Genomic DNA, 23,542 nt, shown 5'->3' with positions numbered 1-23,542 from the left:
CAGGACAAGGACTTCCTCTGTGGTCCTTCCGCCAAAACATCTGGGCTCCTCCACCTCCCCGAGCCCAAATGGCCATGCAGGTCGAACACCAGCTCTGAAGTGGGCAGGGCCCCCAGGGAGGACAGCCACGGGAGCTCAGGCAGCGTCCCCGCCGGCACCTGCCTCTTTGTGCAGCGGCAGTCAGGGCCCTCGGCAATGAGCTGAACTCGCAGTGCGGTTACGAGGGCAAATATGCTCCTTGAGGGCCGGCGAAACTCAGCAGCCCGAGGAAGGCTACTGATGTGCATTTCATAGCCGGCTGCGAATTTAGGAAAACAGACTTTGCTTCTCGTCACTCAGCCTACGTGACCAGGTTCAGACACAGTCTGCAGCCGCCCGCCTCGCACCCCCACTCTGCAGTGCGGTATGTGGGGAGCTCAGGGCACAGCAGGCCAGGCCTCCCCGTGGACGTCCAGGAACCAGGTCAGGTCAGGGATTGGGCGGGGCCTCGGCGCCAGCGTCGGTGGGTGGGCTGAGTTCCTGAGGGCGCTGGCCCTGCCTGGAACAGGCTGCAGCCAGTGCCTTCCTCCTGGACAGAGCCCCCCACCCCCAGCTGCCTCTCCTCCCAACTGACCCCAGACCCAAAAGAAACAGGCGGCTGGAGACCAGCTGCTGGCCTGGCCACCCACTCACCCAGAGTGGGGACGTCCGCCTCCGAGCTGAAGCCGCTGGCCCGCAGCGTCCTCACGATCCAGTGCAGGGCTTGGGCTGTCTGGGCCACCTGGAAGGCATGGCCCGAGACACAGTGAGCACCTGCCACCCACACGCATGGTACACACCCCACTGCCCACCGAGACTTCACTCCCCCAGCCAGGAGCCCCACCCCTGTCACTCAGCCCCTGCGCCCTTTGAAAGTGAGACACCACGTCCTCCCCAGGCAGCCACCAAGCCAGCCAGAACGCTGCCCCAGGCCCACCCGGCTCCCCCCGGGGGCTGCCAAGTCACACATCTGATGGTGCAGCCTCCCCAAGAGACACAACAGTGGGACTGTCACTGCACTGGACAAGCCAGAGGATGGAGCCAGCATGAAGGCACAGTCAGGCAATTCTGCACCACAGGGAGAGGTCACAGGCCGCCAAAGCCAGAGGCTTCCAGGGTTCCTGCACCTCCCAGGAGGAGCCTCCCCAGAGGCTGATGCGCCTCCCACAGGGGACAGTGGGACATGTCTCACTCGTGTGGCTCAGTGCTGGGCACCCTGTCAGGGGTCCCAGCATGGCCAAGACAGGGGTAGAGGGCGGCCTGGGCAGACCCCTGGGTGCAACGGGCAGGACTGGTGGATGGTGGATGCCCCAGCAGCACAGGTCCCAGCCCTGCCCCACAGAGCAAGGCTGGGAGCAGCAGCACAGGGTGGCTGAGCCATCCACAGGGCTCAGCACTGCCCGCAGGGGCTGCCGTGGCCGCAGGTGCTGTTGTTGGACAGCACAGCCCGGCCCAGCTGGTGGACGTTGATGGGGTGGTGGGAGCAGACCCTGAGAGGCCGTCTCTAAGTCCTCCCCACCTCGGTCTTGCGGCCTCTCCAGGGCTCAGGCACAGAGTCCCACAGCCTCCCTGGAGGCCGGGAGGGGAGAAGCACTCTGTTTCCTGGGAGCAGCGAGGAGCACAGCCCGGCCGTGGAGGCCTCAGTGCACACAGAAGGAACTCAGTCACAGAAACCCTTGGGCGGGGTTTTCTGGAGGACACACAGGGTGCCTCTTCCAGCTGGGAATGGCTGCCCCAACGTTCCGGCCTCCTCCTCACCATCACTCCTCAGAGCCCTCCTTCTTGGTGCCACCACATGGCAGAGCCGCCCACCAGGCCCAGCAGTGGCACCTCCTGACGGAGGCCCCGACCTCGGACCCACCTGCTCCTCCAGGGAGGCCAACCTCTGCTCCATGGAGCCCGACCTCTTCAGTGGGTCCAGGTCCAGCAGGTCCACCATGGCGTCAACCCTGAAAGAGGAAGCAGCTGAGCTGGACGCACACCACACCTTGGGGCCCTGGGAACGCCACACCGCTCTGCAGACAGCCCTGCCAGATGCAGCCACCAAGGCCCTGTGTCAGCCTTTGCTTCCTCTTAATATGAAACTATTTCTAACATGCATTTCTCCCATAGAACCAAACTGCCCAGGGCCCCAGAGGGGAAGATGTCTCAGCAGACGGACAGCCGAGGCTCACATGGCAAGCTCTGGCAGCCTGTCGGTCCCAGGAGAGAGGGGGAGGTGAGTGAACTGAGGGAGGGCCAGGTGACAGGTCACAAACAATGAAACTTCCTCTGGGCACAGCAGAGGTTGGTTTTGTTTTGGGGGTGATGTGGCGCGGCACTGTTGCTTGGGGAATATTTGGTTTTTGTCTTATTTTGTGGGGGTCGTGGAGCAGTGCTGCTGTTCTAAGGATGTTTGGTGTCTGTCGTATTTTGTGGGGGTTGTGGAGCAGTGCTGTTTTTCTGGGAGTTATTTGGCTTCTGTCTTATTTTGTGGGGTTGTAGAGCGGCGCTATTATTCTGGAAATGTTTGGTTTCTGTCTTATTTTGTGGGGGTCGTGGAGCAGTGCTGCTGTTCTAAGGATGTTTGGTGTCTGTCGTATTTTGTGGGGGTTGTGGAGCAGCGCTGTTTTTCTGGGAGTATTTGGCTTCTGTCTTATTTTGTGGGGTTGTAGAGCGGCGCTATTATTCTGGAAATGTTTGGTTTCTGTCTTATTTTGTGGGGGTCGTGGAGCAGTGCTGCTGTTCTAAGGATGTTTGGTGTCTGTCGTATTTTGTGGGGGTTGTGGAGCAGCGCTGTTTTTCTGGGAGTATTTGGCTTCTGTCTTATTTTGTGGGGTTGTAGAGCGGCGCTATTATTCTGGAAATGTTTGGTTTCTGTCTTATTTTGCTTCGCCCAGCCTCGGCCTGCTGTGTTTATGGTTAAAATAACTCTGTGGGCAAACCCGAGTCTCCAGCTCTCATCCGCTGTCCCCTGGGCTCCCTCACTTCCTTTCATCCACAGCGCCCACTGCAAGTGATATTCTTATAATACACTGAGCAACTATTTTAGTAACACAGAAACTTTCTGGGGATATGACCCACTTTAAACAGTTATCTAGGGAGAGGGAAGAAAGTGATTTCGCTCCAGGCCTGGGCATCTCCTTTCACCCACATTTCATTTTGCTTAATCCCACAAAAGCCGCTTAACCGCACCTGCCATGTTTTCCCAGACAGCCTTGCAAACATGCGAGGGTGGTTACTGGAGCCTTCTCGGACCCGCGTGATTCCACCACCGTGAGATGCAGGAACTGTCTAGATTTGCAGACAGAGCTTGTCCTTGACCCCCAAAGCTCCAGCCCTGCCCTGTGGGCGAGGAGCTTTGGTGAACTCAGCTCACCTCAGTGCTGCAAGGTTATGGCACCCCACACTCATGCGCCTCCCAGGTGCCCAGCTTCTTCACTGGAGGAGGGGACGGTGACCAGGCTAGGGCCCTTGGTACGGGCTGAGGAGCTCTTTCCTCACTTTCCCTGGAGCCCGTGTTCTGCAAGATCAGGTCGACTGAAGCACATCAGCTTCTGTCCCAGGCCCCTCTGCGGATGAGCAAGAGCTGCTGACCAATGGGAGTGACAGCTCAGCACACCAGCCAGCGGCCCAGCGGAAACACGTTCTGCAGGCTCATCTTGGGAAAACTTCTACTCACATACAAATATGCATTAGAGTCAGGGTCTCACCCTGTCACCCAGGCTGCAGTGCAGTGGCACCATCATGGCGCACTGCAGCCTCGAACCCCTGGCCTCAGCCTCCTGAGCAGCTGGGACTCTGACCCCATGTGCACCACCACACCTGGCTACTCTTTCCTTTTTTGTTGTTGTTTTTTTATTTTTTGTAGAGATGGGGTCTCACTATGTTACCCAGGCTGGTCTCAAACTTTTGGCCTCAAGAAATCCTCCTGCTGTGGCCTCCTTAGTAGCTGGGATCACAGGCATGAGCCACCGTGCCTGGCTAATTGTTATTTTTATTTTTTGTAGAGATGGGGGTCTCACTATGTTGCCTAGGTTGGTCTTGAACTCCTGGGCTCGAGCAATCCTCCCACCTCAGCCTCCCAAAATGTTGGGATTACAAGCATGAGCCACTGTGCCTGGCCTGCAAAGTTATATTTTAGTTAAGCTTTTTCAACCTCAGAAAATAACTGGAGGCGCCCAACTTCCACTGAGCACCTAGGCTGGGAAATAGGCAGCAGACCAGCTCTGAGCTTTAAGATGTCTGGGATAGGGCAGGAGCTGAGAGGCATTTGGGACTAAATTTTTTTTTTTTTTAGGTGGAGTCTTGCTCTGTCGCCCAGGCTGGAGTGCAGCAGCGCGATCTCAGCTCACTGCAACCTCCGCCTCCTGGGTTCAAGCGATTCTCCTGCCTCAGCCTCCCAAGTAGCTGGGATTACAAGCGCACGCCACCACACCCGGCTAATTTTTGTATTTTTAGTAGAGATGAGGTTTCACCATGTTAGCCAGGATAGTCTTGATCTCCTAACCTTGTGATCCACCCACCTTGGCCTCCCAAAGTGCTGAGATTACAGGCGTGAGCCACCGCGCCCGGCCTGGGACTGATTCATTTGGGGTCCAGCCCACTCCCTTAAGGCAGGAGGCTGCAAAGTTGCTGGGGCCTGCATTCCAGGCCACACCGCTGGCCAGTGGTGGAAGCTGAGCCACCTCTCTCACTTTCCTGGGCCTCCACTTCCTCATGGGTAAAAGTGGAAGGAAAAATACCTCCCTCTGCAAAAGGGTTGAGCGAGATGATGCAGGTGAAGGGTGTGGTCCTCAATGAGCCCTTAACACATGCCAGCCATCATATTCCAGCCCTGACTATGTTGGTCATCAGCAGAGCTGTGGCCTTCCAGCTTCATCCTGACATGCGGAGGCCGCCTTTCAGAAACTCTCCCAAGCACCTTCCCCCAGCATCTGGGCCCTGGGCATGGCCACTGCTCAAAGTCCCAGACGAGGCCATCCATCAAAGCTGTACTTGGCAACAGCAAGTAAGAGAAGGTTGTCAGGGCACTGCATGGCCCCAGGCCCCCCTCCTCTGTAAGTGGACCATCAGAGCCAAACGTCAGGGCTGAGCAGGCCTGGAGACCAGCGACCCCAGCCTCCTGCAACCCTGCCAGGCCAGGAACTAACAGCAGTTCCAGAATTGCATAGGATTTCCTCAGTGCCTTCTAGGCACTGGGCCTGCTCTACATCCCAGGATACTATGGGGAACATGTGGGACTCTGTCCCTACTCTCACATGGAGCCTGGCAGTTAGACATGACACAACCCACAAACCCACCAGCCAACCAACCAACATCCAGATTCCAGAACGACAGGGGATGGGGACAGGGTGGGTGGAGGGCAGGAAAGGCCCTCCAATGAAGTGAGGCTTGAATAGAGAGAGACAGCAAGTCCTGACTCTCTCTGGGAGAAGACTGTTCTAGGCAAAGAGCATGCCAAGGGCTCAACTGGAAGTCATCATGCCCAGACTCAAGCAAACAGGACACGTGTATCTAGTTCACTCAGAATGGGAGCTAGAAGGGGCTTTGACATCAGCTAGTTCATTAAGGTCCTCACATTGTCACCATCGTCATTACTATTGCCATCATAATCACCATCATCACTATCATCACCACCACCACATCCACCATCGTCACCACCACCAGCACCAGCACCACCACTACCATCACTACCACCACTGTCACCATCACCATTACCATCCACCACCACCACCATCACCGCTACCACCATTACCACCATCAGAAGCACCATCACCACCATCACCACCACCACCACTGCCAACATCACCATCAACATCACCACCACTACCATCACCACCACCACCACCACCACTGCCATCATCACCATCAACATCACCACCACTACCATCACCACCACCATCACCACCACTTCCATTACAGCCATCAGAATCACCATCATCATCACCATCACTACCACCATCACCAACACCACCACCATCACAATCACCACCACATCACCATCATCACCAACATCACCACTACCACCACTACCATCACCACCACCACCATCACCATCGCAGCCACCATCATCACCATCACCACCACCGCCCCCACTACTCATAAGTAAGGGTGATGATAAAAGCACCAGCCACGTTAGCAGATCCCTGGTTATAGTTCCAGCATATGTGCTCAATTCTTTACAGTCAGGACCCCACTGTATTCTGGAAACAACTCCAAGAGACAGGGACTATCGTGTCTCCATCTTACAGACAAGGTGAGGGAGGTATGGAAAGGCAGGAGTACATACATGTCTCTAAGGGGGAGGGCACTTGGCCTGGTCTTGGCCATCCCTTGCCAGCTCCAGGATGCTCCTGTTTGTGGCTGCAGGAGCCTCCACACGGCCATAACTAGGTGGCACCGTGTCCATTTCCCCCTCCTCCTCTCATGCCATGGTGAGACGCACACTGAGAGCAGGACACTGGGGGCAGCCCTTCCTGCTGCCCGCTGCTGGGCCATTAGGCCCTGCTGACACCTAGCAGGGCGGAAGGCCTGGCAGTGGAGAGAAGGGAGCAGATGTTCCCCCAACACTGACCTCGCACCTTGGAAAGAAGCAAGATGGGAGGAGCTGAGAGGGAGGACGGTGCTGAGCATGGCTGACCCCGAGGGCTGGGCTGCCGAGGTCCTGCAGAAGCTATAATAAGGCTGTGCACCAACAAGCTCACAGAGCAAACCACCCCCAAACCAGCCTGGACCCCGTGTGCACATGCCCCCAGGCCTCCAAGCCGGATCCTGCGGGCCAACCTGCCCCTCCCCCAGCCGCCAAGGCTTCCCTCCCAGCCTCTGACCCTGCGCCCTGTGGGGCCCAGCCTTCCTAAGGACCGCAGAGGGTCCTGGGTCAGCTGTGGGCACAGGCCCGGATGCCTGCAGCATTGCAGGGGCCACGGGATACAGCGCTCCCTCACCGGTGAGGCATTGCTGGGCCTCCCCAGGTGGGACATGTACTCATGGTGCCTGTGGACCTGCAGGAGGTCCCCCAGAGGCTTCCCGCCCCCAGGCCCACCGGAGCCCCCATACTTATTGCTGATGTCCTCGATCTTCTGCTCGGGCCGCTGCTTTTGCTGGAACTGTCGGTTCTGGAGGTAGTTCTCCTTCAGGTAGATCTCCCAGGATAGCAGGGCCGCCTCCTCGTTCTTCTCCAGCTTGTTCTCTGTCAGGGTGGGCGGACAGACCAGGGGACCTGGAATCCTCAGGAGGTGGGCCCTGAAGCCCTGACCCACCGGGGGGGCCCCGTGGGAGGGGGCCAGTCCTGAGTGGCAGGAAGAGCCCATCGCACACCTGCCCCCAAGGGGGCCTCTGGGCTCAGCCCCCACCACTTGCTCAAGGCCAGCAGAAGGCCAGCAGCCTGAGTGACCTGCACGCCTGCTGAGCGTCCAGGGTTCTGGGCAGAGCTGCCATGCCATCTCCACCCCCTCTGCACCCGGGTGGCCAGGACATTCAGGAGAGGCACTGGGGCTGGCATACTGAGCTGCTTGTGCCTCTTGGCCGGAGTCTTCAGGACCACCCTCTTGATGAAGAGCTGCAGGTGGCTGAGGAGGATGAAGGGGGGCGGCGCGGCGGGGCGGCCGTGGTACTCCTCGATCAGGTCATGGCGCTGGAACTTCCAAATCTGGTCCGTGTGCTCCTGCACCTGCTGGAAGGTGTAGCTGTCAGGGAGGAGAAAGCAACACCTCGAGGTCAGGGTGTTTACCCAGAACAGACCCCTCTCACCGCCTGCGTGCCCACTGTGATGCCACAGAGAGCAGAGCCACGCCCACATGCCCACTGTGATGCCACAGAGAGCAGAGCCACACCCACATGCCCACTGTGATGTCACAGAGAGCAGAGCCACGCCCACGTGCCCACTGTGATGCCACAGAGAGCAGAGCCACGCCCACGTGCCCACTGTGATGCCACAGAGAGCAGAGCCACGCCCACGTGCCCACTGTGATGCCAGAGAGCAGAGCCACGCCCACGTGCCCACTGTGATGCCACAGAGAGCAGAGCCACGCCCACGTGCCCACTGTGATGCCAGAGAGCAGAGCCATGCCCACGTGCCCACTATGATGCCACAGAGAGCAGAGCCACGCCCACGTGCCCACTGTGATGCCAGAGAGCAGAGCCACGCCCACGTGCACACTGTGATGCCAGAGAGCAGAGCCACGCCCACGTGCCCACTGTGATGCCACAGAGAGCAGAGCCACGCCCACGTGCCCACTGTGATGCCAGAGAGCAGAGCCACGCCCACGTGCCCACTGTGATGCCAGAGAGCAGAGCCACGCCCTTGTGCCCACTGTGATGCCAGAGAGCAGAGCCACGCCCACATGCACACTGTGATGCCACAGAGAGCAGAGCCACGCCCTTGTGCCCACTGTGATGCCAGAGAGCAGAGCCACGCCCACGTGCCCACTGTGATGCCACAGATAGCAGAGCCACGCCCACGTGCCCACTGTGATGCCAGAGAGCAGAGCCATGCCCACATGCCCACTGTGATGCCACAGAGAGCAGAGCCATGCCCACGTGCCCACTGTGATGCCACAGAGAGCAGAGCCATGCCCACGTGCCCACTGTGATGCCAGAGAGCAGAGCCATGCCCACGTGCACACTGTGATGCCACAGAGAGCAGAGCCACGCCCACGTGCCCACTGTGATGCCAGAGAGCAGAGCCACGCCCACGTGCACACTGTGATGCCACAGAGAGCAGAGCCACACCCACGTGCCCACTGTGATGCCACAGAGAGCAGAGCCATGCCCACGTGCCCACTGTGATGCCAGAGAGCAGAGCCATGCCCACGTGCCCACTGTGATGCCACAGAGAGCAGAGCCATGCCCACGTGCCCACTGTGATGCCACAGAGAGCAGAGCCACGCCACACGGGAGGCCAGCTCCAGGCACAGAACTCAGCCCACAGACCTCACAATTCCAGGCTTCCTGGGAACCAAAGCAAGAAAAAAGGAGAAGCACACAGACTTTCGATATTATAAGCCTCACTGGCTAATAACACGAAGTGGGTGTTTATCAGGAGACAGACACTGTCTGGCACTGAACTCTAGGACCTGATCTGTGGATTCTGACGAGCACAAGAGCCAGACCCTCCAGGGGTGCATGTGGAAGGGGCAGGGCTGCAGGGGCCTCCTTGGTGTGTCTCAGGGTGACAGGCACAGAGCCCTCCGCAGTGGGAGCCGGAAGTGTGGGTGCCATACTTGCTGCAGGGACAGTGTCCTGCCACCAGCCCCTTGGCCTCGAGATGACAGTCCTGGCCCATGCTCGGGTTCTCTCAATGTTCAGAACCCACGTTCTGAAAGGTGGCAACCTCAGCAACTTAGCCAATGAAACAAGAAGAGAAACGGTTGGTTCCTAACAAAACCAGGAACACAAGGATTTTCAGAGTCCTGGGTAGCACAGGGTCTGTCTGCAGATGCTGGGAAGGGCTCTGAGGGCCTGGGAGGCTTTCTGAATTATGGGGGCAACGTGGGGAGACTGGGCTTTCTGTGGACCATGACAGCTCCGCAGCCGTGCTGGGCTCCTCAGCTCCACTGTCAGGGCTAGGAATTGGCCACAGAACCCCCAGAGCCAACCCTGGGGCCCACTAGGACCCCAAACACCTGTGTTTTCATTCTGCGTGGCCTCCTGGTTCCCTGGAGTTCTTTTTTATGCTGCCTCTGGTGTGAGGTCCTCAGCATTTAATTTGTTCTAAGTTTAAAAGCTGCAAGAGCAAAACAGAACCCCCAAAGCCTGGGGCCCACAGCTGCTGCGGCTGATCAGAGATACGACCCCAGAGGACCACGTCCACCAGGGGCCGGATGGACAGCCACCTATTTTGTACTCCTTGTTTCAAAAGCAACAATAGCAAATAACATTCCAAAAGTTCTATGATAAGACTTCAAGACACTAGGATTTAAAGAAAATCCTAGACATTTTCAAAGAGAAGAAACAGCTACTGCATGGGTCTCCTGATGCTGCTGTAGTGAACCGCCACGGCCTTGGCAGCTTAAAGCAATCAGACTCTTCTCTCAGTCCTGGAGGTCAGGAGTCTCACTGGGCTAAAACCAAGGTTCGGCAGGGCTGTGCTCCTCCCGTAGGTCGGGAGCCTCCATGCCTTGCCTTTCCTGCCTTCCAGAGGCTGCCTGCATTCCTGGGCTGAGGCTCTCCCCTCCCGCCGACGCTCACTGCCACCGTCACATTCCTTCTCCGCCTCCCTCTTCCACGGCCCCTCATGATGATGTCGGGCCCATGCAGATAACCCCAGATAATTTCCCACCTCAGGATCCTCCACTTAACCCCACCCTCCCAGTCCCTTTTGCCACATAGGGCCCCATAGCCACAGGGTTCGAGTGTGGACCTCCCTGGGGCTGTTATTCAAACTGCCACAGATGCCACAAACACCAGGCCCAGAGGAGGTGGACACGTGTGTGCAAATCCACAAAACCAGCAAAGCACGTGAAGACGTGCAGATGAGGAAGACCCCAATGGCACGGGAGGGCAGACACAGAGCCGTCCACAGATGGATCGGAGCTCTGGGGAAGGCACCGCAGAGCCAGCGCCGTCTGAGGCACACGGTGGGGGCAGCAGGAACACGTCTAGGGCTGGGGAACCGGCCCCAAAGAGCTAAAGAACCCAGCAACTAACCGAAATGCTCACACTTACAGATGGCAGACGGGAAAAGAAGCCACCTGCTGGGATGCTGAGACTCGCTTGCAGGAGCTTTTGGAACTGGCTGAGGTCACAGCTGGAACCACTGTGGCCAGCTGGAGTCTGCACAGCCCGAGTTTCCACCCCAGGGTCCCAGTAACTCCGCCCAAATGTGCACACGAGACCTATGAGGAGACATAACTTTCCAGAACCCCCTTTTCTTCCACCAGCCACTTACTCATCCAAGAACCCACCCCCGAACCTTCCCTAATAGAAACACTGCATTAAAGCCAGCGCGGGGAGACAGACGTGAACTGCGCCCCTGTCTCCTTGTGGGTTGGCCTAGAATAAAAGCTTTTCTTTTCTCAAAAACCTGGTGTCATAGTATTGGCCTCCTGCACATCGGGCAGCGAGCCCTTTTGCTCAGTAACAGGGAGACACAGGCAGAGCCCTTGGGGTGACAAGGGGACAGCCCTGAGCAGCAGCGGCCCCAGCACGCTCCCCGGGTAGAGCAGTGAGCCCATGAATAATGCTGCGCCTGCGCAGAAGGAACGAGGCTGACACCAACATCCCTGCCCTGCGGGAGGAGGCTGCCTCCGCAGCAGCACCGTGAGCAGGGCCCTTGTGGATCCACAGCACCGCGGGTCCCCAGCAGCCACAAGGACAGACCCACGCCAGCTCAAGAGACAGACTCACGCCAGCTCAAGAGACGCAGCAGTGACCACAGAGAGTGGCTGTGCACACTCCACCAGGATATGAGTGACGCGCCTCTGTGCACCAGCCCATCATCCACACTGTCCACGAGACCCTGGAGACAGCATGGCCACTGCGGCCCAGGAACGCCGCCCACCCACCCACCTGCACGCCAGCCCCACCCAGGCGCTCACTTGAACATGGCGATGAGGAGGTTGAGCAGCAGGATGTTGGTGAAGAGCAGGTAGAGGCAGAGTAGGAGGACCGTCAGCCACTCAGGGAAGGCCGGCCTCTGCTGCGTCGCGTCGCTCTCGGGGCACTTAGGCTTGTAGGGGTCGGTGCCATTGGGGCTGCAGTGCTCCGGGTTGAAGTTCACACCTGGCGTTGGGAATGGGGGTGGGTGAGCCAAGAAAACAACACAGAGTCAAGAGGAGCTTGGCAGGAGGGGGCCCTCGAGGCCTCCAGTCACTGCCAGGTCCCCCGCAGGCCTGATGCTGCTCATTTGGGTGACCTCAGCTGTCACCTCTGGGCCAGAAGTCCAGAAAGAGGCATCTGTCTCCAGCCAGATGCAGGTAGGAGGCCCCGGGGGCAGAGCTGCACCCAGGCTGGCCCGTGCCTCCGCCCAGGGTGTGCCACCCACCAGGGCACTGCCAGGGTCCCAGCCAGGGCCAGCACCAGGTCCCAAGCCTGGGGAGTTCAATTTGGTGGAAATAATTTAAAAGGAAAGGCCAGGAGCAGTGGCTCATGCCTGTAATCCCAGCACTTTGGGAGGCCAAGGCGGGCGGATCACCTGAGGTCAGGAGTTTGAGACCAGCCTGGTCAACATGGTGAAACCTTGTCTCTACTAAAAATACAAAAATTAGCCAGGCATGGTGGCGGGCGCCTATAATCCCAGCTACTCGGGAGGCTGAGGCAGGAAAATCACTTGAATCCGGGAGGGAGGTGGAGGTTGCAGTGAGCCGAGGTTGCCTCATTGCACTCCAGCCTGGGCAACAAGAGCAAATGTCTGTCTCAAAAATTAAAAAAAAAAAAAAAAAAAAAGAATTGAAAAGGAAAAAAATAACAACTATCCCAAAGAGAAGGGAGACGTGGAGATGTGGAAAAGGGAAGATGTTGCAGAGGCAATGTATCGACAAGTGAAACGGGTGATTGTGAAGAAAAATAGCGTCCTGCGTGCATAGAAAGTAAGGGCTATTGAATATGGAAACAGCTTCTACCTTAAACAAATCTCTAAGGAAACATAGTAAGTTGTTAACAGTAGTTAACTCCGGGAGGTGAAATTATGAATAACATTCTTTCCTTATACTTATCTTGAATTTTAAAATTGTTCAACAATGAGCAATGCATTATTGGGTAATCAAACCTATTTTGAATGTGTTACTAATTTTCTAAGATAGAAACGCACTCTGATGGCTATAAATTCCTATATTAATAAAGAAGAGCTGAAATTATTAACGTAACTTCCCACTGTAGTAAACTAGAAAAAGAAGAGCAAACCACCCTTTCACAATAAAAACACTCAAGAAGTTAGGAATCAAAGAGAACCTCTTTGATTGAAAGGACATTTACAAAAACCCTGCAGCTAACATCATACCCAGTGGGAAAGACTGGATGCTTTCCCTGAGACAAGCCAAAAGCAAGCAGAAGGAAGGAAAGAATGAAGATTAGAATATAAATGAGATCGAGAAATCAAAAACAATGAATGTCAACAAACCAAACTCAGTTCTTGAAAAAGAGCAACAAAAATAATTACCACCTTGTAGCTAAGACTGATCAAGGAAAAAAAGAGAGAAGGCTCAAATTGCTAAAATCAGAAATGAAAGAGAGGATATTACTACTAATCTTACAAAAAGAAAAAGAACTCAAAGGAAATCCTAGAGAAAATTGTATGCTAAAAAAATTAGATGATCTAGATGAATGGACAAATTCCTAGAAAGACACAAACTACCAAAGGTGACTGGAGAAGAAATAGAAAATATAAATAGACCTATAACACATAAAGAGATTGAATTAGTAAGTTAAAAACATCACACAAAGAAAAGTCCACACTCAGAGGAGTTCACTGGTGAATTCTACCAAATGTTCACGGAAGAATTAAAACCACTCTTTTACAAACTCTTCCAAAATATAAGAGGAGGAACTACTTCCTAAGCCATTTTATGAGGCCAGTATTATCCTGGTGCCAAAACTAGGCAAACATATTACAAGAAAAGAAAACCACAGACCAATAACCTTCATGAATATAGGTGCAAAAATCATCAAAAAACAGCTAGCAAAGTGAATCCAGCACCATGTAAAAGAGATTATTCACCAAGACCAAGTGGGACGTGTCCCAGGAACATAAAGTTGGTTTAACATTCGAAGGTCAATTGATGGAATGCACCATATTAATAGTAAAAGGATCAAAGACCATCTGAACATTTGAATAAGTGCAGGAGAAGCAGCTGACAAAGTCTACCACTCCTTCACAATAAAAACACTCAAGAAACTAGGAATAGAAGGGAACTTCTTCAACCTGATAAAGGACATTTATAAAAGCCCCACAGCTAACATCACACTTAATGGTGAAAGGCTTGTTCCCTAAGATCAGTGGACTCGTCTTAAGATCAGGAGCAAAGCAAGGATGTCCCCCATTGTCCCTTCTGTTCAACATTGTACTGGAGGTTCTAGCCAGGGCACTTAGGCAAGAAGAAGAAATAAAAGGCAACCAGTTTGGAAAGGAACAAGTAAAACTCTCTTTTTGCAGATGACATGGTCTCGTATATGACAAATCCACTAAAAAACTATTAAAAGTAATAAAGAAGTTTAGCAAGGTTTCAGAGTTCAAGATCAATCTACAAAAGACAATGTATGTCTACATACCAGTCATTAACAATTTGAAATGAAATCAATAGGACAATTCTATTTATAATAGCTTGGACAATAATAAAATATTTAGGAATAAATTTAACAGAAGAAGCATTAAGACTTATTACTGGAAACTATAAAACATTATTGAGAGAAATTAAAGAATTAAATAAGCAAAAAGACATCCCATGTTCACAATCAAAATCACAGATGCCCTTTTTGGAGAAATTGATGAGCTGATCCAAAAATTCTTGTGAAGCCAAGGGACCCAGAGGCCAAAGCAATCCTGGAAAAGAACAAATTAGGACTCACACTTCCGAATTTCAAAACTTACTACAAGGCTACGCTCACCAAGACAGCACGGTCAAAACTTACTACAAGGCTACGCCAACCAAGACAGTGCGGTCAAAACTTACTACAAGGCTACGCTCACCAAGACAGTGTGGTCAAAACTTACTATAAGGCTACGCTCACCAAGACAGTGAGGTCAAAACTTACTACAAGGCTACGCCAACCAAGACAGTGCAGTCAAAACTTACTACAAGACTACGCTCACCAAGACAGTGCGGTCAAAACTTACTACAAGGCTACGCTCACCAAGACAGTGCGGTCAAAACTTACTACAAGGCTACGCTCACCAAGACAGTGTGGTCAAAACTTACTACAAGGCTACGCTCAACAAGACAGTGTGGTCAAAACTTACTACAAGGCTACGCTCACCAAGACAGTGTGGTCAAAACTTACTATAAGGCTACGCTCACCAAGACAGTGAGGTCAAAACTTACTACAAGGCTACGCCAACCAAGACAGTGCGGTCAAAACTTACTACAAGGCTACGCCAACCAAGACAGCACAATCAAAACTTACTACAAGGCTACGCCAAGACAGTGCGGTCAAAACTTACTACAAGTCTACGCCAAGACAGTGCGGTCAAAACTTACTACAAGGCTACGCTCACCAAGACAGTGCGGTCAAAACTTACTACAAGGCTATGCCAACCAAGAGAGTGCAGTCAAAACTTACTACAAGGCTACACCAAGACAGTGTGGTCAAAACTTACTACAAGGCTACACCAACCAAGACAGTGTGGTCAAAACTTACTACAAGGCTACGCCAAGACAGTGCAGTCAAAACTTACTACAAGGCTACGCCAAGACAGTGCAGTCAAAACTCACTACAAGGCTACGCCAACCAAGACAGTGCGGTCAAAACTTACTACAAGGCTATGCCAACCAAGACAGCGCGATCAAAACTTACTACAAGGCTACGCTCACCAAGACAGTGCGGTCAAAACTTACTACAAGGCTACGCTCACCAAGACAGTGTGGTCAAAACTTACTACAAGGCTACGCTCACCAAGACAGCGCGATCAAAACTTACTACAAGGCTACGCCAACCAAGACAGTGAGGTCAAAACTTACTACAAGGCTACGCCAACCAAGAGAGTGAGGTCAAAACTTACTACAAGGCTACGCCAACCAAGACAGCACGATCAAAACTTACTACAAGGCTACGCCAAGACAGTGCGGTCAAAACTTACTACAAGTCTACGCCAAGACAGTGTGGTCAAAACTTACTACAAGGCTACGCTCACCAAGACAGTGCGGTCAAAACTTACTACAAGGCTATGCCAACCAAGAGAGTGCAGTCAAAACTTACTACAAGGCTACACCAAGACAGTGTGGTCAAAACTTACTACAAGTCTACGCCAACCAAGACAGTGTGGTCAAAACTCACTACAAGGCTACACCAAGACAGTGCAGTCAAAACTTACTACAAGGCTACGCCAAGACAGTGCAGTCAAAACTCACTACAAGGCTACGCCAACCAAGACAGTGCGGTCAAAACTTACTACAAGGCTATGCCAACCAAGACAGCACGATCAAAACTTACTACAAGGCTACGCCAACCAAGACAGTGCGGTCAAAACTTACTACAAGGCTATGCTCACCAAGACAGTGTGGTTCTGGCACAAGGACAGACATCAGTGGAGTCAAACTGAGACTCTAGAAATAAGCCCTTATGTTAATGGTCCACTGATTTTCAACAAGGATGCCAAGATGCTTCACTGGGGAAACAACAGTCTTGTCAACAAATAGTGCTGGGACAACAGGAGAGCCACAACGAAGACTGACCCTTACCGCACACCAGGGCAAACAAAAAGCGAAAGCTATAAAACACTTAGTAGAACACAGGCATAAATCACGGCAATGGTTTTCGCTAGGACACCAAAAGCACAATGATCAAAGAGATTGATAAGTTGAACATCATCAAAATTTCAAAAGCTCGTGCATCAAATGACACCATAAAGAAAATAACAAGTCAGTGCACAGATTGACAAAAAAAATTCAAATCATACCTTTGGTAAGAGACTGGCATCCTTACGTAAAGAACTCTTACGACTCAATAATATAAAAGACAACTCAATAATATAAAAGACAACTCAATTGAAAAATGGGCAAAGATGGCTGGGGGCAGTGGCTTATGCCTGTAATGCCAGCACTTTGGGAGGCCAAGGCGGGTGGATCACGAGGTCAGGAGATCGAGACCAGCCTGGCCAACATGGTGAAACTCTGTATCTACTAAAAATACAAAAATTAGCCAGGCGTGGTGGCGTGCGCCTGTAGTCCCAGCTACTCGGGAGGCTGAGGCAGGAGAATCACTTGAGCCCGGGAGGCAGAGGTTGCAGTGAGCTGAGATCGCACCACTGCATTCCAGCCTGGGTGACAGAGCGAGACCCTGTCGGAAAAAAAAAAAAAAAAAAAAAGGGCAAAGGAGAGGGAGAGACATTTCTTGAAAGAAGACTTACAGACGACGAGGTTAGCAGAGGAGGAGATGCTCAGCATGGCGGGTCCTTAGAGAAATGCCCGTCAAAGCGACAAGGAGAGCCACTTCTCACCCACCGGGATGCGAGCTTTGTTTTTTTAATGGACAATAACAAATGTTGACAAGAAGGTAGAGAAATTGGAATCCTGGGACTGGGCAGGCAGGAATGTGGAATGCGGCCGGTTCTTTGGAAAACAGCCCAGCACGTCCACAAAAACTTAAACATGGAGTTCCCATATGAGCCAGCCGTGCATTCCTAGGTGTCTAAGAGAAATAAAAACATACCCACACAAAACCCTGTAAATAACTGTTCATGCTACGTTATTCACAGCATGTGAAAAGTGGAAACGGCCCTGCGCGGTAGCTCACACCTGTCATCCCAGCACTTTGGGAGGCCGAGGCGGGTGGATCACCTGAGGTCAGGAGTTCAAGACCAGCCTGTCCAACATGGTGAAACCCCATCTCTACAAAAAAATACAAAAATTAGCCAAGCGTGGTAGCAGGTGCCTGTAATCCCAGCTACTCGGGAGGCTGAGGCAGGAGAATTGCTTGAACCCAGGAGGTGGAGGTCGCAGTGAGCCAAGATTGTGCCACTGCACTTTGGCCTGACTCCCTCTCGGGAAAAAGAAAACAGAGCGAGACTCCCTCTAGGGGAAAAAAAAAATTAAATATTAATTAATTTAAAATTTTTTAATTAAAAAATTAAATATTAATTTTTTTTAAAAAAAAGGAAAAGTGGAAACAACCCATATGTCCACCAACTGATGAATGGATGAACAAAATGTGGTGTGTCCACACAGCGGGGTCCTCTTCAGCCATAAACGGGAAGTAAATACTGATACACGGTGACAAACCTTGAAAACGGGACATCAAGTGAAAGAAGTCAGACACCAAAGACTGCCTATTACATCATCCAGTTTCTATGAAACGCCCAGAAAAGGCAGCTCACAAGTAGCTTCGTGGGTGGCTGTGGCTGAGGGGAGGGGAACGGGAGTGACTGTGAGTATGCAGGGTCTTTTCAGGGTGATGCAGATGTTATAAAGTTAGATTCTGTAAAGATACTGAAAACCACTGACAGGTGCACTTTATCCAGGTGAAATTTCTCTCAATGAAGCTGTTAAAAAAAAAAAAAAAAAAAAAAAAAACCTTCTATATGAAAAGTGTTCTCTCTGGCAGGCATGGTGGCTCACGCCTGTAATCTCAGCACTTTGGGAGGCCAAGGGGGTGGATCACTTGAGCTCAAGAGTTCGATACTAGCCTGGGCCACATGCTGAAACCCCCATCTCTACAAAAAATACAAAAATTAGCCGGGTGTGTTGGCGTGCACATGCAGTCCCAGCTACTCAGCAGACGGGTGGGAGGAGGACTTGAGCGCAGGAGGTGGACGTGCCACTGCACTCCAGCCTGGGTGACAGAGCAAAACCCTGTCAAAAAATGGAAGGAAGGAAGGGAGGAAGGGAGGAATGAATTATTTCCATCAAGAGAAGAAGGAAGTTATTTCTGATTGAGGTGAGAGGGAAAGGGGATACAGGGTGACATTCCATTTCAGGGGGCTGTCAGCTGATGCCCCAGGTGCCCTCGGCCCACTCTGACCTCTGCGTGGCACCACTCACCCCCACCAGGCCCCCCTCCTCCCTCCCCTGGTGGGGCCCCTTCTACTTCCTGCCACAGGAGCTGGGGAATGAATGCCCCCAGGGAGGACACCGGCCAGGTGGGAACCGCAGGACCCCCTGATGGAGCCGGCCTCACTCCCACTCATGCGGCCCCTTTCCAGCCTCTCTCCTGCTTCCCGGCAGCACCACCCGAGCTCCCATGGCGCCCGGCTCCTACCGTCGATGTAGCCCGGGATCTGCCCGAAGATGGTGAGGTAGGAGTGGTAGACGGCCCCTCGGAACAGCCAGTCCACCCGGCGCTCGTTGTGGATGAGGATGGCCTGCTTGGCCACCCCGAAGGACACCACCCACACAGCCAGCAGGAAGAGGAAGAAGAAGACGTCCTTCATCTGCAGGACAGAGAGTGTGTGGGCTACACTCTCCTGGCCCCCGATGCTCACTGGGCCCAGAGGCAGGCCCAGCAGCGGTGGAGACAGCACTGCCACTCACAGCACAGACACGGCATGCAGGAGGCTCCCAGGAGCAGTCCTGGGGCTGCCCCCACACCCTCGTGGACTGCCGACATCTTTGTGCTAGCACCACAAAGTGCAAGAGGGGTCAGACATAACCGTGACCCAAGGAGGAAAGCTCCTAGAGCTGAATCAGAGGCCAGGAATGAGTGCGGTCAGACATAACCGTGACCAAGGAGGAAAGCTCCTAGAGCTGAATCAGAGGCCAGGAATGAGTGGGGATCAGAGGGGAGAATGAGGGAAGGCTTCCTGGAAGAGGTGACGTACAGGCAAAGATACGAGAAGGGCATTCTTGGGAGCCCAAGGGGCAAAGCAGGGACGGGGAACCTACAGGTGTGTTTAAGCCCCAGTCCGAGCCACTGGCAAGGGGCCTGCCCTCCCCGAGGCCCACCCTGGGCTGCAGGCCGCGATGGAGCCGGTGCCCCCGCCCCCTTACCATCCGCTTCACAATGATGATCTTGGGCCCCAGCGTCTTACTGATGGTAAAAATGTGCATGAGCCGGAGGCAGAACAGGATGAAGTCCAGAGAGAGGATGACGCGCCCGGGGTACAGCGTCGCCGGGATGAGCCTGGCCGCCGGGCAGAAGCACACACATCTCAGCCACCTGCTCACAGCAGCCCCCAGAGCTGTCCCCCGTCGCCCCTCCACCTGTCCTAGCCCAGGTGGGCCCTGGAGGCAAAGGGCTCTGGTGGGCCCTGCATCCCAGGTGTTCAAAGCTGGCATGAGATTGAGGAATAGAGCCTCCCACTTTTCTTCAGACGCCCAGCCCCACAGGGCAGCCTGGCATGGGGGCACCTGGAGAGCCAGCAGTTAGCCAGGGCCCTATTGCCTCCGAGAAAGGGGGCCGCGGCCTCGCAGAGACACGAGAGCATCACAGGCAGTGCAGTGAGCCCACAGTAGGGAGGCAGAGGGAGAAAGCGGCAGCCGCGTGTCCGTGGAGCTGGGACAATTCCAGAGGTTGCCATCTATGGCCCCTTGCACATGGACAATCTCAGCTCTGCCAGGAGCTCTCATGCCCCTTCTGTGCTCCCTCAACAATCCCAAGGGTAGGTGGGGCGCTGTTGCCTGGACACCCATTGGACAGATGACAATCCAGGGTTCACAGACGAGCTGAGCCTCACCCGGTGTGGCTGGTTCTGGGCCCGGCCTGTGCTCATCCCCTGCAGGGCTGGCTGCCTCAGACGGGCCCGCCATCGGGGTGAGGCCACTCACCTGCAGGTCAGCCCTGCCACGAAGAGCAAGATTGCGCCGACGTCCAGCTTATTCCAGAAGTCACTGAAGTACAAGGCTGCCTTCTTCATCAGCCCGCACTCGTCAGGGTCATAGAAGAGCTACTGGGAAGAGGGGCGGTAGGAAGGCAGACAGGTTGTCACTCTTACTATCCTCACTGTCACTGTCACATCACTATCCACTATCATCATCACAGTCACTGTCACTATCATCACTATCACTGTCACTATCATCACTACCCTTGCTGTCACCATCACTGTCATATCACTATCCACTATCATCACAGTCACTGTCACTATCATCACTATCACTGTCACTATCATCACTATCCTTGCTGTCACCATCACTGTCATATCACTATCCACTATCATCACAGTCACTGTCACTATCATCACTATCACTGTCACTATCATCACTACCCTTGCTGTCACCATCACTGTCATATCACTATCCACTATCATCACAGTCACTGTCACTATCATCACTATCACTGTCACTATCATCACTATCCTTGCTGTCACCATCGCTGTCATATCACTATCCACTATCATCATCACAATCACAGTCACTGTCACTATCATCACTATCACCGTCACTATCATCACTGTCACTATCATCACTATCACTATCATCACTATCATCACGGTCAGCAAATCCGAACATTGGTTCTGATCTGAAGAGAGCTGGGTCAGTGAGGGAGATGGGAACAGGACGTGGAGGAACAATGCAGAATAGCGCTGGCAGCAGCTACCTCGGCCCCCTGCTCACTCAGCACCTGTGTGTGCATATATGTGTATGTACATATATTCTGCATGTATGTGTGTATACGTGTGAATATGTATGTGTGCACATATGTGTGTGTATGTATGTGTGCATTCTGTATGTGTCTGCATGTATTTGTATGTGTATGCATGTGTGTATATGTGTATGTGCATGTATGTGTGCATGTATATGTGTATGCACATACATTTGCATGTATTGTGTATGTATGCATGTTTGTGTGTGTGCATGTGTATGTGTATCTGTGTGTCTCTGTGTATATGTGTATTTGCATGTTTTTGTGTGTGCATGTGTATATATGTGTATGTGTCTGTATGTGTGTGTTCATATGTGTATGTTCATTCATGTGTGCATATGTATATATGTGTGTGTATGTGTGTACATGTTTGTTCATGTGCATATGTATGTATATGTGTATATGTGCTTGGGTGATGTGTATATTTGTGTATGTGCATGTGTGTATGTGTATGTGTGTATGCATGTGTATGTGCATGTGTGTATGTATGTGTGCATATGTGTATGTGTATATTGTGTACATGTGTATGTGTGTATGCATGTGTGTGCTGTATATGTATGTGCATGTGTATGTATGTGTATATTTGTGTGTATGCACACGTGTAATGTGTGTATGCATGTGTGTGCATGTGTATACATGTGTTTATCTGTGTATATTTGTATGTGTGCATGCATGTATATGTGTATGCATGTGTGTGCATCTCTATATGCATGTATGTGTGTCCATGCATATGTGTGTATGCATGTGTATATGTGTGCATGTATGTGTATGCATGTGTGTATGCATGTGTGTGCATGTGTGCATGTGTGTATACATATGCATGAATGTGTGTGCCTATGTGTGTACTGTGTGCATGTGTGTGCATGTATGTGTGTACATATGCATGTATGTATGTGTGTGTGCCTATGTGTGTGTGCATTTGTGTGCATGTGTACATGTGTGTGCATGTACCTGTATGTGTATGCATGTGTGTGCATGTGTGTGTGTGTTGGAGCAGCGCCCTCAATGTCAGGCGCCAGCTGCCTTCCCACAAGGATCTTTGTTCTGTCAGGGGCCACACTGTTTCTTTAGCAGGCCAAGAGTGCAGGACCTGGCAGGGGCTGTGGGAGCCCCCATTTGGCCTACTTGGCAGGAGTCCCCACACCCTCCCTAGCCCCAGGCCCCAGGACCCAGCAGCTGGACAGGTGGGGCAGGTGACCAGCAGGACCAACCAGGGCCCTCCCTGGATCACAGACAGATGCAGGGAGAAGGAAGTGCCCCCTCTGCTCTCAGGCTGCTGCCCATGGGGCTGGGGCTGGGGGTGCATGGAGGCCTCTGGCCCCTTGTAGAGAGGGTCTGGTGGCAGAAGCCCTGTGGCAAGAGGAGAGCCAAGGAGAGCCCAGCAGAGCCAGGGCCACAGCACAGCTCCCAGGCCCCGCCAAGTCCTGGACCTGATCTTCCTTCCTGGGGACGCCGGTGCCTCCCCCAGGGCCCCAGTAGGCAGTGGTATTTACACAGTGCACACTGCTTTCTAACTGGGGTAACTGGGGGCCTGGTGGTCCACCAAGGTTAGAGAGCAGAGGTAAGTCTAAGCCAGGACCACTGCCCCGTGGGCTGACCCCACCCCCTCACCACTGCCCTGAGGGTTCCAAGGACCTAGTTCCCATTCACCGGCTGCCAGCAGGTGCAGGCACCGTGGGGGCACAGTGGAGACCCCACACAGTAAGGGATTCGCCCCACCTGGGGGGCAGCTTGGCCTCGCCCAGCTCCAGGGAGATAGCCTCTGAGCCCTTGGAATGTCCGCCTGATGAGGGTGTCTTTGTTCCTGGGGCCTGGGCCATGCCAGGTGGTCCCACAGTGTGATTTGGGGTGGGGCCCCGGGCAGTTTTCAGTTTGACCTTTGGAGGGCTGGAGACTGAGGTCAACCATGTGGTGTCAGCCTCGCCTCTGTGACTGACCTCCAGTAGACACCAAGGCCCGCGAGCCTCTCTGGGGACGTGCCTCCATGCATGAGGCCACACATCATCACCGGGAGGATGGAGTGCCACCCACACCTCCACAGGGAGGGACTGGCCGGATGCCCTGGGCTCAGAGCTGTCCTGGATGCAGCTGCGTCCCTCCCCCTGGCTGGTTTAGTCTGTAGACTGTTGCTTAATAAACCATAAGTGAGCATTGCCACTCCCCAGCGTCTGTGGGTCCTTCTGGCTCGTTATTGAACGTGAGAGGGGTCTTAGGGACCCCACACCTTGCACTGCTCTTCCTGGGGGAAGGGACATACTCATAGTCCACAAGGTCAGGGCATCCACCTTGAGCTGATCAGCCGGTCTCCAGGAGGGAAGGATGCCTGGGCCGAGGGAAAGCAGGGAAGCAGGCGCAGGGGGCATGAGGAGGGAGGGGC

The 23,542-nt window shown here is 53.3% G+C and overlaps 1 protein-coding gene and 1 long non-coding RNA gene across 11 annotated transcripts in view, besides 3 other annotated features; one reads left to right on the top strand and one right to left on the bottom strand.

Moving 5' to 3' along the window:
- Positions 1 to 23,542, bottom strand: part of TRPM2 (transient receptor potential cation channel subfamily M member 2) — a 92,504-nt gene that overhangs the window by 17,033 nt on the left and 51,929 nt on the right. For 3 of the 10 annotated variants that reach the window (NM_001433516.1, NM_003307.4, NM_001320351.2), the window contains 8 exons: positions 20,352 to 20,470; positions 19,575 to 19,707; positions 18,847 to 19,018; positions 11,538 to 11,721; positions 7,504 to 7,685; positions 7,057 to 7,189; positions 1,880 to 1,967; positions 673 to 760 (listed from right to left, as the gene is read on the bottom strand). In NM_001433516.1, coding sequence (NP_001420445.1) covers positions 673 to 760; positions 1,880 to 1,967; positions 7,057 to 7,189; positions 7,504 to 7,685; positions 11,538 to 11,721; positions 18,847 to 19,018; positions 19,575 to 19,707; positions 20,352 to 20,470 — 1,099 coding nt within the window. Of the gene's footprint in view, positions 1 to 162; positions 299 to 672; positions 761 to 1,879; positions 1,968 to 3,192; positions 3,343 to 6,574; positions 6,665 to 7,056; positions 7,190 to 7,503; positions 7,686 to 11,537; positions 11,722 to 18,846; positions 19,019 to 19,574; positions 19,708 to 20,351; positions 20,474 to 23,542 lie in introns of those variants that run through there. The other 7 variants (XM_011529736.3, XM_017028457.3, XM_047440977.1 and 4 more) reach the window with 6 other exon arrangements.
- Positions 49 to 11,022, top strand: TRPM2-AS (TRPM2 antisense RNA). Its single transcript, NR_109964.1, has 3 exons — positions 49 to 462; positions 2,131 to 2,236; positions 10,668 to 11,022. It is a non-coding gene; the product is annotated as a TRPM2 antisense RNA (long non-coding RNA).
- Positions 2,142 to 2,201: an enhancer, noted in NCBI's record as "active region_18573". NCBI's record gives its function as "activates an Ori minimal core promoter by ATAC-STARR-seq in GM12878 lymphoblastoid cells {active_cell/tissue: GM12878}" and the evidence as "EXISTENCE:reporter gene assay evidence [ECO:0000049][PMID:35858748]".
- Positions 18,869 to 20,068: an enhancer, noted in NCBI's record as "CDK7 strongly-dependent group 2 enhancer chr21:45825427-45826626 (GRCh37/hg19 assembly coordinates)". NCBI's record gives its function as "activates an origin of replication core promoter dependent on BRD2, BRD4, P300/CBP, MED14 and CDK7 cofactors, with strong dependence on CDK7, by STARR-seq in HCT116 cells {active_cell/tissue: HCT116}" and the evidence as "EXISTENCE:reporter gene assay evidence [ECO:0000049][PMID:35650434]".
- Positions 22,585 to 23,508: an enhancer, noted in NCBI's record as "H3K4me1 hESC enhancer chr21:45821987-45822910 (GRCh37/hg19 assembly coordinates)". NCBI's record gives its function as "activates a minimal SCP1, AML or CMV promoter by ChIP-STARR-seq in naive H9 embryonic stem cells {active_cell/tissue: H9 hESC(naive)}" and the evidence as "EXISTENCE:reporter gene assay evidence [ECO:0000049][PMID:30033119]".

The sequence above is a fragment of the Homo sapiens genome, chromosome 21 (genome assembly GCF_000001405.40).
Source record: "Homo sapiens chromosome 21, GRCh38.p14 Primary Assembly".
Taxonomy (NCBI): domain Eukaryota; kingdom Metazoa; phylum Chordata; class Mammalia; order Primates; family Hominidae; genus Homo; species Homo sapiens.
This window is presented reverse-complemented; position numbering and strand designations above follow the sequence as displayed.